At 42.5% G+C, this 16,701-nt stretch overlaps 1 protein-coding gene and 1 pseudogene across 6 annotated transcripts in view, besides 1 other annotated feature; both read right to left on the bottom strand.

Moving 5' to 3' along the window:
• On the bottom strand, positions 597–1,622 carry RPSAP26 (ribosomal protein SA pseudogene 26; annotated as a pseudogene).
• Positions 5,768–5,857: an enhancer, noted in NCBI's record as "active region_15848". NCBI's record gives its function as "activates an Ori minimal core promoter by ATAC-STARR-seq in GM12878 lymphoblastoid cells {active_cell/tissue: GM12878}" and the evidence as "EXISTENCE:reporter gene assay evidence [ECO:0000049][PMID:35858748]".
• Positions 11,865–16,701, bottom strand: part of COMMD1 (copper metabolism domain containing 1) — a 247,668-nt gene continuing 242,831 nt past the window's right edge. For all 6 annotated transcript variants that reach the window (NM_001371765.2, NM_001321781.3, NM_001321782.3 and 3 more), the window contains exon 3: positions 11,865–12,092. In NM_001371765.2, coding sequence (NP_001358694.1) covers positions 11,982–12,092 — 111 coding nt within the window. In that variant the 3' untranslated portion in view covers positions 11,865–11,981. The remainder of the gene's footprint in view (positions 12,093–16,701) is intronic.

Below are 16,701 nucleotides of genomic sequence, written 5' to 3'. Positions count from 1 at the left end.
GATACAGTAAAAATACGGTGTAAAAGATAAAAAATGGTATACCTGTCTAGGGTATTTATCTGAATGGAGCTTGCAAGACTGGAAGTTTCTCTAGGTGAGTCAGTGTGTGAGATGTCAGTGAATGTGAAGGCCTAGGACATTACTGTACCCTACTGTAGACTTTACACTATACACTTATGCTACACTAAATTAAAAAATTTTTCTTCAATAAATTTAACCTTAGTTCACTGTAATTAACTTTTTGGCTCTCTTTTAATAACACTTATCTGAAAACACAAACACACTGTACAGCTGTATAAAAATATTTTCTTTATAGTCTCATTCTGTAAGCTTTTTTCCTATTAAAATTTTTAAAAATTTATTTACTTTTTAATTTTTTCTTGTCAAAAACCAGGACACAAATACACATTAGCCTAGGTGTACACAGGGTCGGGATCATCAATATCACTGTCTTCCACCTCTACATCTTGTCCCACTGGACGGTCTCCAGGGGCAATACGCGCATAGAGCTGTCATCTCCTATGATAACACTGCCTTCTTCTGGAATCCCTCCTGAAGGACCTGCCTGAGGTTGTTTTACAGTTAACTTTTTTTTTTTTTAGAAACTGATGTTTATTTTCCATCAACCATTTTTCCATGTTGCTTAAGAGCCTATGCAAGAACAGCTTAAGACCAGTCAGTGGTTGCTCCTACCCATTCAGTGGCCTGAGCAGTGGGAGCTGCAGACCAGTCTTCCGTGGCAGGCTGAGCGCTCCCGTCTTCAGTAGGGAATAGGCACAGAGGGCACCTGTACACCTTCAGACCAGTCTGCAACCTCAGGCTGAGTAACAGTGAACTCAGGAGCTGGAGCAGTCCATTCACCCTGAAATTCCTCCTTGGTCACTGCCTTTTCAGCAGCAGCCTGCTCTTCTCTTTCAATCTCTTCAGGATCTCTGTAGAAGTACAGATCAGGCATGACCTCCCATGGGTGTTCACAGGAAATGGTGCCACGCATGCGCAGAACTTCCCGAGCCAGCATCCACCACATCAAACCCACTGAGTGAGCTCCCTTGTTGTTGCATGGGATGGCAATGTCCACATAGTGCAGAGGAGAATCTGTGTTACACAGCGCAATGGTAGGTAGGTTAACATAAGATGCCTCCATGAGAGGCTGGTGGTCAGCCCTGGGGTCAGTAACCACAAGAAGCCGTGGCTCCCGGAAGGCTGCCTGGATCTGGTTAGCGAAGGTTCCAGGAGTGAAGCGGCCAGCAATTGGAGTGGCTCCAGTGGCAGCAGCAAACTTTAGCACGGCCCTCTGGCCAGTATTCCTGGAGGATATAACACTGACATCAGCAGGGTTTTCAATGGCAACAATAGCACGAGCTGCCAGCAGAAGCTTCTCCCAGGTCCTCTTCAGATTTATGATATAGATGCCATCACTTTTCCTTTTATAGATGTACTGTTCCATCTGGAAGTCAAGATTGGTGCCACCTAAGTGAGTTCCTGCTGCAAGGAACTTAAGGACATCCTCCTCCTTCATTTGCAGGACATCAAGGGCTCCGGACATTGTGAAAGTTTCCCTTTAAGTTACGATGGGAATCCAGAACAACGCCGTATGGACCCCTCTGCAGGTAGCGTGGAAAGGACTTTTTTTTTTTTTTAATAAGTAGAGAGTATACTTAAAAGATAAAAAGCACAGTATAGTAAGTACATAAACCAGTAACACACTTATTATCAAGTATTATGTATTGCACATAATTGTGTTATATTTTTATATGACTGGCAGTGCAGTAGTTTATTTATACCAGCATCACCACAAACACATAAATAATGTGCTATGACACTAGTGATGGGAATTTTTCAGCTCCATTATAATCTTATGGGACCATTGTCACACATGTCATCTGTCATTGACTGAAACATCGTTACGCGGAGCATGACTGTAGATATTCTCATACACTGCTTGTGAAAGTATACATTGGTTGGGCTACTTTAGAGGGCTATTTGCCAATATTTATATGCATTCTGAGTTTGAGAGATTCTGAGAACTATGCTGGAGCCACTTCATACCAGCTAACAGAGCTGATTGTGCATTCATGTCTCATTAGTAGTTTGAAATCGGCCATGGTGGAAGAATTCACACCATGGAAATTGGCAAATGCTACAAATCAGCCCCACTTCCTCTTTTTGGAAGACTGGTTGTTAAACATTTATTAGTACTCTAAAGTCTATTTGACAGTGTCTACAATAAAAAAAAGAAAGAAAGAAAGAAAAAGCACATAACCCATGATACAGTATTCCTGTTTTCTAAGATATATTTGTACATGTAAACAGGGATGCATGTTCAAGGATGTTCACAGCAGCATTATTTGCAATGGAAAATTGAAGACAACCTAAAAACCCACTCATTGATAGTGTAAACCAAAAAGCATCTGAGACAGGTCTCAATTGATTAAGACGTTTACTTTGCCAAGGTTAAGGACCGTGGCCCATGCTGCAGCCTCAGGAGGTCCTGAGAACATGTGCCCAAGATGGTGGGATTGCGGCTTGGTTTTAGGGAGACAGAAGTTATGGGCAAAGACATAAATCAATACATGGAAGGTATACATTGGTTTTGGCCTGGAATAGGGGGACATCTCAAAGTGGGAGTTGGGGGCTGTTTCTAGGTCACAGGTGGATTGAGAGATTTCCTGACTGGCAGTTGGTTCAAAGAGTTAAGCTCTGAGTGAAGAGTTGAAGTCAGCTTGAGTTATGGTAAGGGGGGAATGTTTTGGAAGCCAAGGTTTTTGTCATGTAGGTGAAACCTCCAAAGAACAAGCTTCAGAGATAATAGATGTGACAGTCTCTTATCTGACCTAAAAGGTGTCAAACTCTGTGGAAAAACCTAGTAGAGGAAGGAGATTCTCTAAAAAAATGCAAATTTCCCCCACAAGGGACAGCTTTGCAGGGCCATTCAAAGTATGTCGAAGAAATATATTTTGGGGTAAAATATTCTGATCTCCTTCCGGGCCTGCTGTCTGTCATGAGATGTTACATCAGAGTCAGGTTGGAATTTGATCTTATTGCTACAAAGAGTCTGTTTTGTCGGTCTTAAAATCTCTGTTTTAATGTTAATGCTGGTCAGTTGGGTCTAAACTCCAAAAAGAGAAGGGTATATAATGAGACCTTCCCCCTCTCTTCCTGTCATGGCCTGAACTTCTAACCACCCCTCTTCCTGTCATGGCCTGAACTTTTTCAGGTTTTTTTTGGGATCCCCTTGGCTGAGGGGGTACATTCAGTTGGTTGGGGAGATTAGAATTTTGTTTTTGGTTTATAATAGGAAACTCAAAAACAAAAACCTCCAGCCTATTCTAAATGGAACACTATGCAGCAGTTAAAATTAATAAACTAAATTTATATAAACTGTTGGGAGAAAAAACTTCTCTACCAATTTAGGTCCAATTGGTCGGTGGCCTGTGAATCAACTGACAATACACAGATTAACAGGAGAAAAACGTACTACATATGCGAAGGTACCCTAAAGAGAGTAGCTCCCAGAATAGCTGGGGGGGAAAAAATCACACAGCCATAAAAGAGAATAAAATCGTATCCTTTGCAGCGACATGGATGCAGCTGGAGGCCATTATCCTAAGCAAATTAATGCAAGAACAGAAAACCAAATACCACATGTTACAAGTGGGAGCTAAACTGTGGATTCTTATAGACATAAAGACGGCAATAATAGCTACTAGGGACTACTGGGGTTGAAAGACTAACTACTGGGTACTATGTTCACTACCCGGGTGACAGAATCATTCATATGCCAAATGTCAGCATCACACAATATACCTAAAGTATCAAACATGCACATGGACCCCTAAATCTATGAACACAATTAATGGCTAAACTTCTAGGTGCAAAACTAGGGATGGCATTTGGGCTGTAAAGAATGGCACAGGCTGTGGTTACCCCAGTAACCACTTTCTTCCAGGACTCACTCAAGGCAATAGGGACTTGCTTGGTCTTGCCCCTTCTGTTATGGTTCCAGGGGTGGTTGCCCAAAGGTGATGCAAGTTGATTCTCCCAGGGATGGGTCCCCAGTGAGAGCTCTCAAGCTATTCAGGGACCTTCAGAGCCAAATTCCCCTAGCATTTTGTTCAACTCTTCCCCATGTGTACAGGGACAAGGAAGGGTTTTGCATTATCCTTTCCCATTTGTTGAAATTACATCTATAAGAACTGATGAAGAGAAGGGTCAGTTTTTTCCACCTGTCTCAGGGAACTGGGTGGGCCTGATAACTCTCCCACTACATGCTCCTGGCCCCAGATTATCTGGTTACTTATTTTTAAACTTCCTGATATTAGGGGAAAAGATTTTTCCCTAAATTCCCTATAAGTGATATTTGAAGCGGTGGTACGCCACCCAGCAAATGGCTGTATCCAGTTTTAATGGTTCATAAAGTAACTTATGAAGTGACTTGTTTTCTTTCAATTCAAAGGAAGTCTGGGGAAAGGCACCATTCATTCATTCAAGATGGGGTCTCAATATGTTGCCCAGGATGGTCTTGAACTCCTGGGCTCAAGGATCCTCCTGCCTCAGCCTCCTGAGTAGCTAGGATTACAAATGTGGCAGTTTGAAAGGCACTTTCTTGGTCTATGTGGTCCGCCTGTACCCAGATGATTTGGAGCCTCACCTTTAGTCCCACCCTGGCCAGCCAAACCAGGGTCAGCCTGGGGCTCCAGGAAAAAATGAAATGTTACATGGCCTTACTTGCCTTTTTCTGCTATTCATAGGCTGATATTGGTTGATAGTAAATATAAACCCACTGGGCAAGTTCATTTTTGCACAGAGTGACAACCGTCACTGAACTCTGTTTTAAGGGAGGGATTTTGGTGGGTTTTTTTTTTTGAGACAAGGTCACCCAGGCTGGAGTGCAGTGGCATGATCTCGGCTCACTGCAGCCTTGACCTCCTGGGCTCGATTGATCTTCCCACCTCAGCTCCCCAAGTAGCTGGGACTACAGGCGTGCACCATCACGCCTCGCTAATTTTTTGTAGAGACAGGATTTTGCCATGTTGTCCAGACTGGTCTTGAACTCCTGAGCTCAAACAATTCACCCACTTCAGCCTCCCAAAGTGCTGGAATTACAGGCATGGGAGGGATTTTTTTTTTCTTTAAATTGAGATGAGGTCTCACCATCATGCCCAGGATGGTCTTGAACTCCTGGGCTCAAGTAATCCTCCCATCTCAGCCTCCTGAGTAGCTGGAACTACAGCTGTGTGCACCACACCCAGCTAATTGTTCAACATTTTTGTAGAGACAGGGTCTTGCTATGTTGCCCAGGCTGGTTTCTAACTCCGGGGCTCAAGTGGTCCTCCTGCTTCAGCCTCCCAAAGTGCTGGGTTACAAGTGTGAGCCACTGTGCTGGGCCAGAATTTATTTATTTATTATTTTTAAAGAACCTTCATTTCCTCTGGCAATCTGCTTGGGGACATGCACATGAATCTCATGGGAGAACAAGAAAACGTTTCCTTTTTGTGTTCTCCACTTTCCCTTCCCTTTCCAGAATCTAGGCCCTGGTGATTCCCTTCAGGAGGCAGGAAAGCGATTCCTTGAAGAACAACAGCCGTCACCTTCCTTCCCAGTTGAGCCAGAAAGGCCCCACAGCTCTGCCACAGATGCTACAGAAAATGTTTCTGGCCTCAACTCCCCAGGGAGGGAGTAAGCCTTGGGGTTAGTTCAGTTGCACAGTTCCACGTCTGTTAGCAGCCACTGGTTCTCTTACTCCAGCTATGTTTAGCTTTGTTTGACTATCTTCCATGGGAACACAACTGCATTAGTGTTCCTTTTCTCAGTTCTCCATTTCAAAAATTTTTATTTATTTATTTAATTTCTGAGAGGGGGTCTTGCTCTGTCACCTAGGATGGAGTGCAGTGGCACAAACACAGCCTCACTGCAGACTCGACCTCCAAGTTCAGCCTCCTGAGTAGTTGGGATCACAGGCATGCACCACCATGCCTGGCTAATTTTTTTATTAGTAGTAGAGACAGGGTCTCCCTATGTTGCCCAGGCTGGCCTTGAACTCCTGAGTTCAAGCAATCCGCCCGCCTCAGCCTCCCAAAGTGCTTGGATTATAGGCGTGAGCCACCGTGCCCCGGTATCGGTTCTCCATTTATAACAACTTGTCACCAAGAACCCGAGACCCAAGCTTGGGTCAATGGTTGTCCAGCTAGGATGAGAATAATGTGCTGGCTATCTGGGTACTGTGGACAGCCTGGAAGCCCCATGTGGCAGCCAACTTACTCATTTTGCACACTGCACCCAGAGAAGGGTGGCACTGAGTGGAAAGTGAGGCCAAGGTCATCACAAACAGCATCAGGCTCTACAAAGAGTGACAGCAACCTGAAGCACAGAGACAGGTCTAACATGGATGCAGGATGTAAGTGACGTTGGACCTAGTCTTAGGTCACATCTGCATACAAAAATCCTCACTACAGGAACTGTCATTATTTAAACACATGAGCAAGGACACAGATTTTTGAAATAAGCACTTATTCTTTTGAAGGGTCTAAAAGGTAGAATGTAGAGATGGAAGACAGTAGACCTGAAATTCCTTCCTGACCACGGCCTTGTACAAATCTTCTGCCCTGTCTGTCCAGATGTTTCCTCATTTTTGACCAGATGCTAAAGCCTCCAAATCAGTCATTCTGAGATCCATGCCAATTCTTAGCCATGATTCTAAAAATAGCCAGAATAGAAATAATATACAATCCTCATATTTATGCTTACTTCTTTAATACAAAAACAGTGTAATAACAGCATGAAGGAAATAATTTAATGATTTTAATTTTTCAGCCTAAAATTATTTTAAACTAATGGTTTCACCTTGTTCCACTTGAGTAATCAAATTCATATTTTCCCCCTTGCCATCTCTCCCCCACCTGCATCCTGTGAATCAACAGAAGTTAAAACCCTAACACCAGTGGGAAACAGAAACTAGCCAAGAGCATGTAAAACAGAAACAAGACAGGCGTGGTGGTGCTGAGGTGGGAAGATCACTTGAGCCCAGGAGTTCAGGCTGCAGTGAATAATGGTTGCACCATTGCACTCTAGCTTGGGGGACAGCGTGAGACCCTGTCTCTATATTAAATTTTAAAATATAATAAAAGAGAAAGAAAATGCCTAATTACAGTTCTTGGTGAATAAATGATGTAAATGCCCATATTTTACTACCTGCTCACGTATAGCGTTAGTATTGTAATCAGATAGTTTATGTACCAAACTTGTAAGTTATGCCAGTTGGGACCATTTATCTAACAGGAAGCAGGCCCAGGCAGGTTCCTTTGCAACAAAGGATGGTTCAATGTTGCATACAGTTGAGTTGCCATGAGAGACAATTATGGCCATCCCCAAATAAGGAAAACTTGATTGCACTTAGATAAAAATTGCGATTTTTCAAATTTTGAGGTCAAAACCTGTATACTCTACAACTAGAGGTAAGCTTAAGCTAATTATGTTCTATTTGAGTCTTCCCTTCTGCTGACTAAATCACCATTTAAAATATTTGTAAACCTTGGTTGTAAAGTTGGACACCTAAGAATTCAAAATAGCAATTGTCCCACAAAGCCCCATCCCTTCCAGTATTGTGTTCTTTTAGGAAAGTATTCAATTATCTCTCAGCTGATCCTAAGATTCCTTCTATATCTTGTCCCTTTCATTTGTTTAGATATTTACTATACACTTTGAGGCTGGGTGCAGCGGCTCATGCCTGTCATCCCAGCACTTTGGGAGGCCGAGGTGGGTGGATCACCGAAGGTCAGGAGTTTGAGACCAGCCTGGCCAACATGGTGAAACCACGTCTCTACTAAAAATATAAAAATTAGCTGGGTGCGGTGGCGCATGCCTGTAATCCCAGCTACTCGGGAGGCTGACACAGGAGAATCGCTTGAACCTGGGAGGCAGAGGTTGCAGTGAGCAGAGATTGCACCACTGCACTCCACCCTGGGCGACAGAGTGAGACTCCTTCTCAAAAATAAATAAATAAATAAAAGGCTGGGCATGGTGGCTCACACCTGTAATCCCAGCACTTTGGGAGGCCGAGGCGGATGGATCATGAGGTCAGGAGTTCAAGACTAGCCTGGCCAAGATGGTGAAACTCCGTCTCTACTAAAAGTAAAAAAAAAATTAGCTGGGTGCGGTGGCAGGTGCCTGTGATCCCAGGTACTCAGGAGGCTGAGGCAGGAGAATCGCTTGAACTCAAAGGGCGGAGGTTGCAGTGAGCCAAGATCGCGCCACTGCACTCCAGCCTGGGTGACAGAGTGAGACTCCATTTCAATAAATAAATTAAAAAGAAAAAAAAACATACAAAAAGATACTTACTGTACACTTCAGAAAACAGTATTTTCTAACATCGGTTTAGCATTTATTTCCCTTTAATTTCTATTTATATTATTTTCTAAATGTTCACTCAGGTGTAAAAAAATAACTTCAACAATTAATAGTTTGACATGATGTCAGCTATTTAAGATACTCAACATCATCCTCTGCTTTTCACCACCTTCTTGCATTTGGGGGTGAAGAGTTAAACTACTTTTTTTTAATGCTGGAACTCTTTTTGAATCATTATTAAAATAAGACTGGGGGAAGAGAGGTTATATAAAGGAAATAAAGAGTCTATAATGGAATTTAGGCTTTTGCTGTTACAGCTGAGAAGAACTAGAGCTTCCAAGGAAAGCCTGACCTAAGAATAAGGCCAAATCTTTTGCTTCGTATCAACACAACGCTACCAAAATCTGGAGTTATTTTCTGACTTTATTCTGAAAGCTAACTTTTAGCTTGGCTGGACTGTTTTTTTCTTTTCTTCTCTCATCTTTCTCTCTCTCTCATCTCTCTCTCTCTCTCTCTCTCTCTCCTTTTCTTTCTTTTTTAGAGATGGGCTCTTGCTGTTGTTGCCTGAAGCCCCAAACTCCTGGGCTCAAGGCATCCTCCTTCCTCAGCCTCCTGAGCAGCTTGGACTTGAGGCCTGTGCTACCACACCTGGCTAACGGGCAGGAATCTTTCTAAACAGACTGAATTTAGAGTGCTTATTGCTCAAGCAGGGATAATTTCTACAAGGTCCAGTTCAGGCTGAGATTTTTATTTTGTCCCTAATTTCCTGAAATCAAAACAAGTGGTTTTAATCTAGGATCGCACAGGTAGAAAACCTAGTGGGGTCTCTGGGAACTTTATACCTGTTTTCTCCTTCCCTGGTCCTTTCTCCATGCTTTTATTGTTACCAGGGAGATGTCCTGGTTTAATGTAAGTGTCCCTTACAAAACTTTCTAAGAACTTACTCCCAGAAAATACAAAAAATGATGATAGCCAATTAGGCAAGAGAGGGGGTAATTTAGTCTTATACTTTCTCAGAGGGAATACAAATTAATACAGCCTTCCTGGAGAGGAATTTGGCAATGTTTATCAAAGTTAAAAACTGTGTACTAGGCCGGGTGCAGTGGCTCACGCCTGTAATCCCAGCACTTTGGGAGGCTGAGGCGGGTCAATCACTGGAGGTCAGGAGTTCGAGACCAGCCTGGCCAACATAGTGAAACCCTGTCTCTACTAAAAATACAAAAAAAAATTAGCCGGACGTGGTGGCAGGTGCCTGTAGTCCCAGCTACTCAGGAGGCTGAGACAGGAGAATCACTTGAACCCGGGAGGCGGAGGTTGCAGTGAGCTGAGATTGCGCCACTGCATTCCAGCATGGGTGACAGAGTGAAACTCTGTCTCTAAATAAATAAATAAAACTGTGTACTCCACTTCTGGGAATTTATTCAAGGAAAGTCAACTCTTTTCCTAGTTCTAGCCTTCTTTCTGTACATTAGATTGATGGGTCATTAACTGTTCTTAGTATGTTTCTGTATTTTCATAATAGACTATAATAAACATATATACCTTTGATAATAAAAAATTAAAAATCATCAGTAAATATAAAATATACCCTGTTAGAAACAACTTGCATTCAGAAGTGCTTAGTGTTAAATGTGGGGACCACCTGCAACAACCAGTTTTTGGTTTTCTTTTTAATTCTTGAAAACTCAGTATACATTAACTGTAGTTCTTCCAATGACCTAGGGTTTGGGAATACAATTTTAAAAGCCCATGGCCACTCTTGTAGCTATTACTTTCATGGGATGACCTAAACAGAGTTTCAGACTATGACAATGATTTCCTCTCCTTGTGGCCCATGTGCTGTTCCTTCACACTTCCACAGACTTCCATGGGATATATGAGTCAATACTAAGGTGATAGCTCTAGTTATTCCTTCCAAGGACATCTGGAATCCGATTATCTGATGAGATATTCTATTGCTCCATTTTACAGCAGGAGACCTTATCAAAATTCTCCTAGATTACATGACAGCAGCCCTGGGAACAGAAGGCAAGTTTAAAATAGTTTTTTTTTTTTCCAAACCACATTCCTTTCTTGAATCTATTTACAGTACTGTTTCAAGATGTTTTCTGAAGGGTGCACAGGGGCTACATTGAAAACCTTCTGGTTATTGTTTGCTAACTGCTGGGATGGTTTTAATCAGAGAAGAAGCCAATAATTTCAGCTTGGGTGTTAGAAAAGCTCCTGAAATGTCTCCAAACTGATTTAGGAGAAACTGCTTAACAGAAGAGGACTTATTCCTGTCCTGAAACAAACTCCTTAGCATGGACATATGCTGTAATCACAGACCAAGATAACCACATTTTTTGAACATATTATACTCCAAAGGCATCTTAGATTTCTAAATATTATCAGTATCAGATGACAAAACCTGTTCAACAAGGACCATAGCCTCAATATGCTAGTTGACAGCCTCCGCCGTTAGAATGTTCTTGGTGTTTGGTAAGTTCTCTAATAGGACCTACTTTTTATTACACTAGTTTTTCTTAAAGAAATTTTTTGAAAGGGGTTTTATTTTAATGACTCAGGTAAAATTTTCTGAGGTAAAAGACCTCACATCAGTCTCAGCAGACATCTGCCCCTTCCCATGATCCTGACTTGAGGCAAGTGAAGGGAGTCCCTTTGTTGTGAGGCCAATTTAGTTCTAGGTTCCAGAAAAGCCTGAGTCTCTCAGTAGTTCAGATCAAACCAGATGCCCCAGATTTAAGCAGAACTAATCCAAATGCCCAAATCAGTTTCAGAAAGAGCTCAGGTTTTAACTAGGGTCAGGTACATCTTTTCTAGGTTAGGTAGGTGCTCCTATGCCTCAGCTAAGTACATAGCACTTTGGTCAGCCCTATATTTGCATGATAAAAGCTTTTTTTTCTACTTTAAAAATAATTCCTACATGATTTATCATGTATAAATTCTTAAAACCCCACCCAGGACAAACCACTATATCAAGGATTTCCATTGCTGATCTCTCTCACCCTAATCCTATTGAATCCAAGTCTCTGGGGATAGAGCCCTGGAAGCCTACTTTTTTTTTTTTTTTTTTTTTTTAAATGTAAATGCTTTTCTCACGCCTGTAATCCCAGCACTTTGGGCTTTGGGAAGCCAGGGTGGGAGGATCACTTGAGCCCAGGATTTCCAGACCAGCCTGGGCAACATGGTGAAACCCCATCTCTACAAAAAATACAAAAATTACCTGAGTGTGGTGGCATGCACCTGTAGTCCCAGCTACTTGAGAGGCTGAGGTGGGAGGCTCGCTTGAGTCCAGGAGCTTGAGGCTGCAGTGAGCCATGACTGCACCACTGCACTCCAGCCTGGGCAACAGAGCAACACTCCGAATTTAATAATAACAACAAAAAAGTGAATGCTTTTACAAGTACCCCTTATAACATTTATGCACACTGAAGGGTGAGAACCTCTGCACTGGAACAAATGTAAGACTAAATGAAAGCTAGAAAAAAAGAAATCTGAGCAAGTAGAGGCAGGAAGACTGAATGCGAGGATTTAATACCAATGCGGGCACAAGAATTTTCTTAGAAAAGGTCAGTGGGGAGGGATCATGGACACCTTGGTTTCAACAACTCCAACTCCTTCATACATCATCTTCAGTTAGGCTGGCTGATCAGTGTGCTGATACTTTCTTCTACCTCTGACAGCGTCTTCAGAATTTGGTTGACTTTGACCTCATCAAATTCCAAACACAGAAATTCAGATTCCTGGAAAACATAAAAGGATATTTTAGAGGGAAACCACAAGATAGCCAAGGCCATCTGGCATGACCAAACTCAAAATACCCAGGGTCCCAATCCAGCAAGCCCAGCTCAGACCTTAATATCGAAGTGATATTTTACCCAGCAAAGCATATCCACATAATGCCCTAAATAAAAGTGCTTTTATGCCAGGCGCAGTGGCTCACACCTGTAATCCCAGCACTTTGGGAGGCCGAGGCGGGCAGATCACAAGGTCAGGAGATCGAGACCATCCTGGCTAACACGGTGAAACCCCGTCTCTACTAAAAATATAAAAAATTAGCCAGGCGCAGTTGCGGGCACCTGTGAGTCCCAGCTACTCAGGAGGCTGAGGCAGGAGAATGGCGTGAACCCGAAAGTCGGAGCTTGCAGTGAGCCGAGATCGGGCCACTGCACTCCAGCCTGGGGGAGAGAGTGAGAGTCCATCTCAAAAAAAAAAAAAAGTGCTTTTATGATGGTGTTTCATATTGATAAATAAGAGGCGTACAAATGTCAGATGTTCTCACTAGGAGGCATATGAGAAGCTCTTCCTCTTTGTCATCTCATTGGATCCTCTAATAATTTTTAAGGTAAGAACTTGAGTAGTGCTGTTTTAAAAATGAGGACCCTGAGGCACAAAGAGGTTAACCTGTATCAAAAATAAATACCATATAAAGGCAGAATCAGACTGTGGGAACTCTCAGCTCTGGATGACGCCGAAGTCCATACTGTCTCCACAGCACCTTGGATTACAAAAATGAAAGGAGAATTTTGACTGACTCTGATGGACTCTGAGTTAGTCTGGGAAGTGAGCTAACTTGGATTTAGTGGTTATGCCAGAAATTGTGACAAGTTGCTTGGGAAACATGAGCCAGATAACTGAAAGATAACCAGATCTTGAAATAACAACAAACATTTCTGGGGTCCCTCCACTTGCTGCAAGCCAACCCTCCTCACAGCTCCCTTAAATACGTTCCCTTCAATCACTGTTAGGATTGGTCAATCAATCCTAGGTTAGGTAGATGGTAGATATCAAAAAATAAGATTTTTTTCCCCCTCTGTTTCCAGGCTGGAGTGCAGTGGCATGATCATAGCTCACTGTAGCCTCAAACTCCTGGGCTAAAGTGATCCTCCCACCTCAGCCTCCTGAGTAGCTAGGACTACAGGTATGCAACCATGCCCAGTTAACTAAAAAAAAAAATTTTTTTTTTTTTTTGTAGAGATGGGGGTAGGGGGAGGATCAGTATGTTGCCCAGTCATAAGATCTCTGAGTTATGGCAGCAGGAATTTCATGCACACTAGACAAATTCTACATCTGCATTATCTTGAGAGACAAGGATAAATTTTATGTATCTAGGAGCAACTACATTCAAAATCCTTCAGAACAATAATCAAGTAATTTAGAGCAGTATGAATCCTTACAGAGCATATAATCCAATTGCCTTGTTTTCTAGATAATTAAATTAAGCCCCAGGCATGTTAAATGATGTGGCTAATTAATGTCCCTCTGTTGATGACAGTCACTAAGTCAATGTTCTTTTCTCTGTATTTTCCTAACTACTGAAAAGTATCAGAATATACCAGCCCCAACTTTGCCACTTTGGCCTATAGGTTACTTTGTGCTGAAGGCAATTGAGACTCAACAGATGGAAAAATAAGTCTTGGAGTTTCCCTTATCTGGCCAAGAGCAGAAACTTCTAAAAAATGAGAACTGCCAGGCCAGGCATGGTGGCTCATGCCTGTAACCCCAGCATTTTGGGAGGCTGACGCAGGAGGATCACTTGAAGCCAGGAGTTCAATACCAGCCTGGGCAATAATAATGAAACTCTATCTCTAAAAATAAAAAATAAAAAATTTAAAAAAGCCAGACATGGTGGTGCGCACCTGTAGTCCTAGCTACTTGGAAGGCTGAGGTGGGAGGATTGCTTGAACCCAAGAGGTGGAGTGAGCCTAGCAACCTTGGTGAGACCTTGTCTCAAAAAAAAAGAGAGGGTGAGAACTGCCATAAATCCCTCTCTGGGGAAGTTTTATGGGCATGAAAAAGATGGAAAGCTGACACCATGATGAGTCTGCCCAAACCTTAGTAAAATAACTCTTATCTACTATTAGATTCACCATATACTTAATTCCCATAATTTACCACCTTTAGAAGACCAAACCCTTCTTCCTATGTCTAGTCACTTCTCTCCACAATTTATCATCCTTTGTTAAAATGGTATGCAAGCTTTCAAGTCTAACTGCCTCTTTGGATTTTCTTTTTTTTTTTTTTCTGTTAAGCTTGTGTGCATATAAAATTAAAAATACTTACCATCAGCAAAATTTATAATTTTTTTTCTCCTGTGAATCTTTTGTCAGTTTAATTTGCAGGCCTTATACATGAACCTAAGAAGGCAGAGAAAAACTTTTTCGTCCCCTACGATACTATGGCATTTCCTACCCCCATCTCCAAAGTGGTAGTTAAAGGCAGGCCAACAAGCTTCTTCAGAAGGAGGGTGTCACTTTGCCATCAGCCAAAAGAACATTCAGGAGTTGGTTTTGCTGTTGCTAAGCTGCTAAGCTGAGTCTACACTGATGACAGTGAACATCTCCCAAGGAGAAATAAGTACAAAGGGAAAGAAGGGGCCTCTTGGATGAAAGGCTTCCACAGACAGGGAAGGCAGCTTTCCTTGCCTACAGGAGTCCTGTCCTCAAACATGTATTTGGATAGGAGAGAAGTGCAGTCTCATATGTGAGCTTAGAAACTTTGCCAAGTTTTCATTTAGTCCAAAGCAAAAACCAAGTTTAAACAAAGAAAGAATACTAATTAAGTGTTCAAGCTCTAGGAGGGGTTATCTCCTTTTGGAAAGAAAAGCAGATTTATGACAAATTAGGCAGTTCAGTTGGCAAAATTCAGAAGAGGTCTCAGATGTGAAAGCCTGTTCTTCATTCAGTTTTATTGAGGGCTTTAGTTTGACTTTAAAACAATTTTTTTTTTTTTTGAGACAAGAGTCTCGCTCTGTCGCCCAGGTTGGAGTACAGTGGCCCAATCTGCAACCTTTGCCTCCCAGGTTCAGGCAATCCTCCTGCCTCAGCCTCCTGAGTGGCTGGGATTACAGGTGTGCACTACCACGCCTGGCTAATTTTTGTATTTTTTTTCAATAGAGACAGGGTGTCGTCATGTTGGCCAGGCTGGTCTCGAACTCCTGACCTCAAGTGATCTGCCTGCCTTGGCCTTCAAAGAGCTGGGATTACAGGCGTGAGCCACTGTGTCTGACCTAAAACAATTTTTAAAACATCTGGCCTTGGACACAATGGTCTAGAAATTAGTGATTACCAGTAACTAACATATATATTAAGGACATTGATAAAAAAGATGATGTAGCCTATATTTCACCTCAGTGAAAGTAAGTTACAGTAATAAATAACCTGGTTTTCTATGTAGGCAAAGAAATTACCAGGAACAATATTCATAGAGATAGGAGCAACTGAGTAAGGCATGTTTAAAAATAGCCAGGATCTTTTCTAAGGGATCATTAGTTTGTTGTAGGTTTCAGGACTCATTTGTGATTGGATCTCTATGTATGAATGAAGCTCAGTTTATTTTTGAGGGATGCCAAATACTAGAGAAAGAGTAGGCTAAATAAAGAAGTCCAGGCCGGGTGTGGTGGCTCATGCCTGTAATCCCAGCACTTTGGGAAGCCAAGGCGGGCAGATCAGGAGGTCAGGAGTTCGAGACTAGCCTGACCAACATGGTGAAACCCCATCTTTATTAAAAATACAAAAATTAGCCAGGCTTGGTGGTGGGCACCTGTAATCCCAGCTACTCAGGAGGCTGAGGCAGGAGAATTGCTTGAACCCAGGAGGCAGAGGTTGCAGTGAGCCAAGATCACGCTATTGCACTCCAGCCTGGGCAACAGAGCGAGACTGTCTAAAAAAAAAAAAATGTGTGTGTGTGTGTGTTTGTGTGTGTGTGTGTGTATTTAGAAATGCAGATGTGGGCTAGGGGTGGTGGCTCATGCCTGTAATCCCAGCACTTTGGGAGGCTGAGGCAGGTGAATTGCTTGAGCCCAGGAGTTTCAGACCAGCCTGGGCAACATGGCGAAACCCCATCTCTAAAAAAAGTATAAAAATAAGCTGGGCATGGTGGCATGTGCCTGTAGTCCCAGCTACTTAGGAGGCTGAGGCGGAAGGATTGCTTGAGCCTGGGAGGTCAAGGTTGCAGTGAGCCAAGATCATGCCACTGGACTCTAGCCTTGGCAATAGAGTAAGACCCTGTCTCAAGAAAAGAAGGGAAAGGGAAAGGGAAAGGAAAAGGAAAAAGAAAAGAAAAGAAAGGAAGGCAGGCAGGCAGATGTGATGCTTATCAAGCCAGAGGCAGAAGGTACAAGAGCAATCTGAAACACTTGTTACTGTTTTCATGGTCATCTTGGGCTTAACTGGTGATAAAAATAAGAGATGACAAGACTAAAATTCCTGTATTTAAGTATCTGAGTCAAGAATCAAACTAGCTTCTTTTCAGTAAAGGATGCAGTATGGAGTAGAGTCAGAATGTGGCTAGCAGATAAGCAAGCACATCATTGTCAAGAACATGTACTTTGTGATCCTGGGGAGTACAGCA

Source organism: Homo sapiens, chromosome 2 (genome assembly GCF_000001405.40).
Source record: "Homo sapiens chromosome 2, GRCh38.p14 Primary Assembly".
NCBI classification, from domain to species: domain Eukaryota; kingdom Metazoa; phylum Chordata; class Mammalia; order Primates; family Hominidae; genus Homo; species Homo sapiens.
The sequence above is the reverse complement of the archived record's forward strand: the minus strand, read 5'-3'. Positions and strand labels throughout refer to the sequence as shown.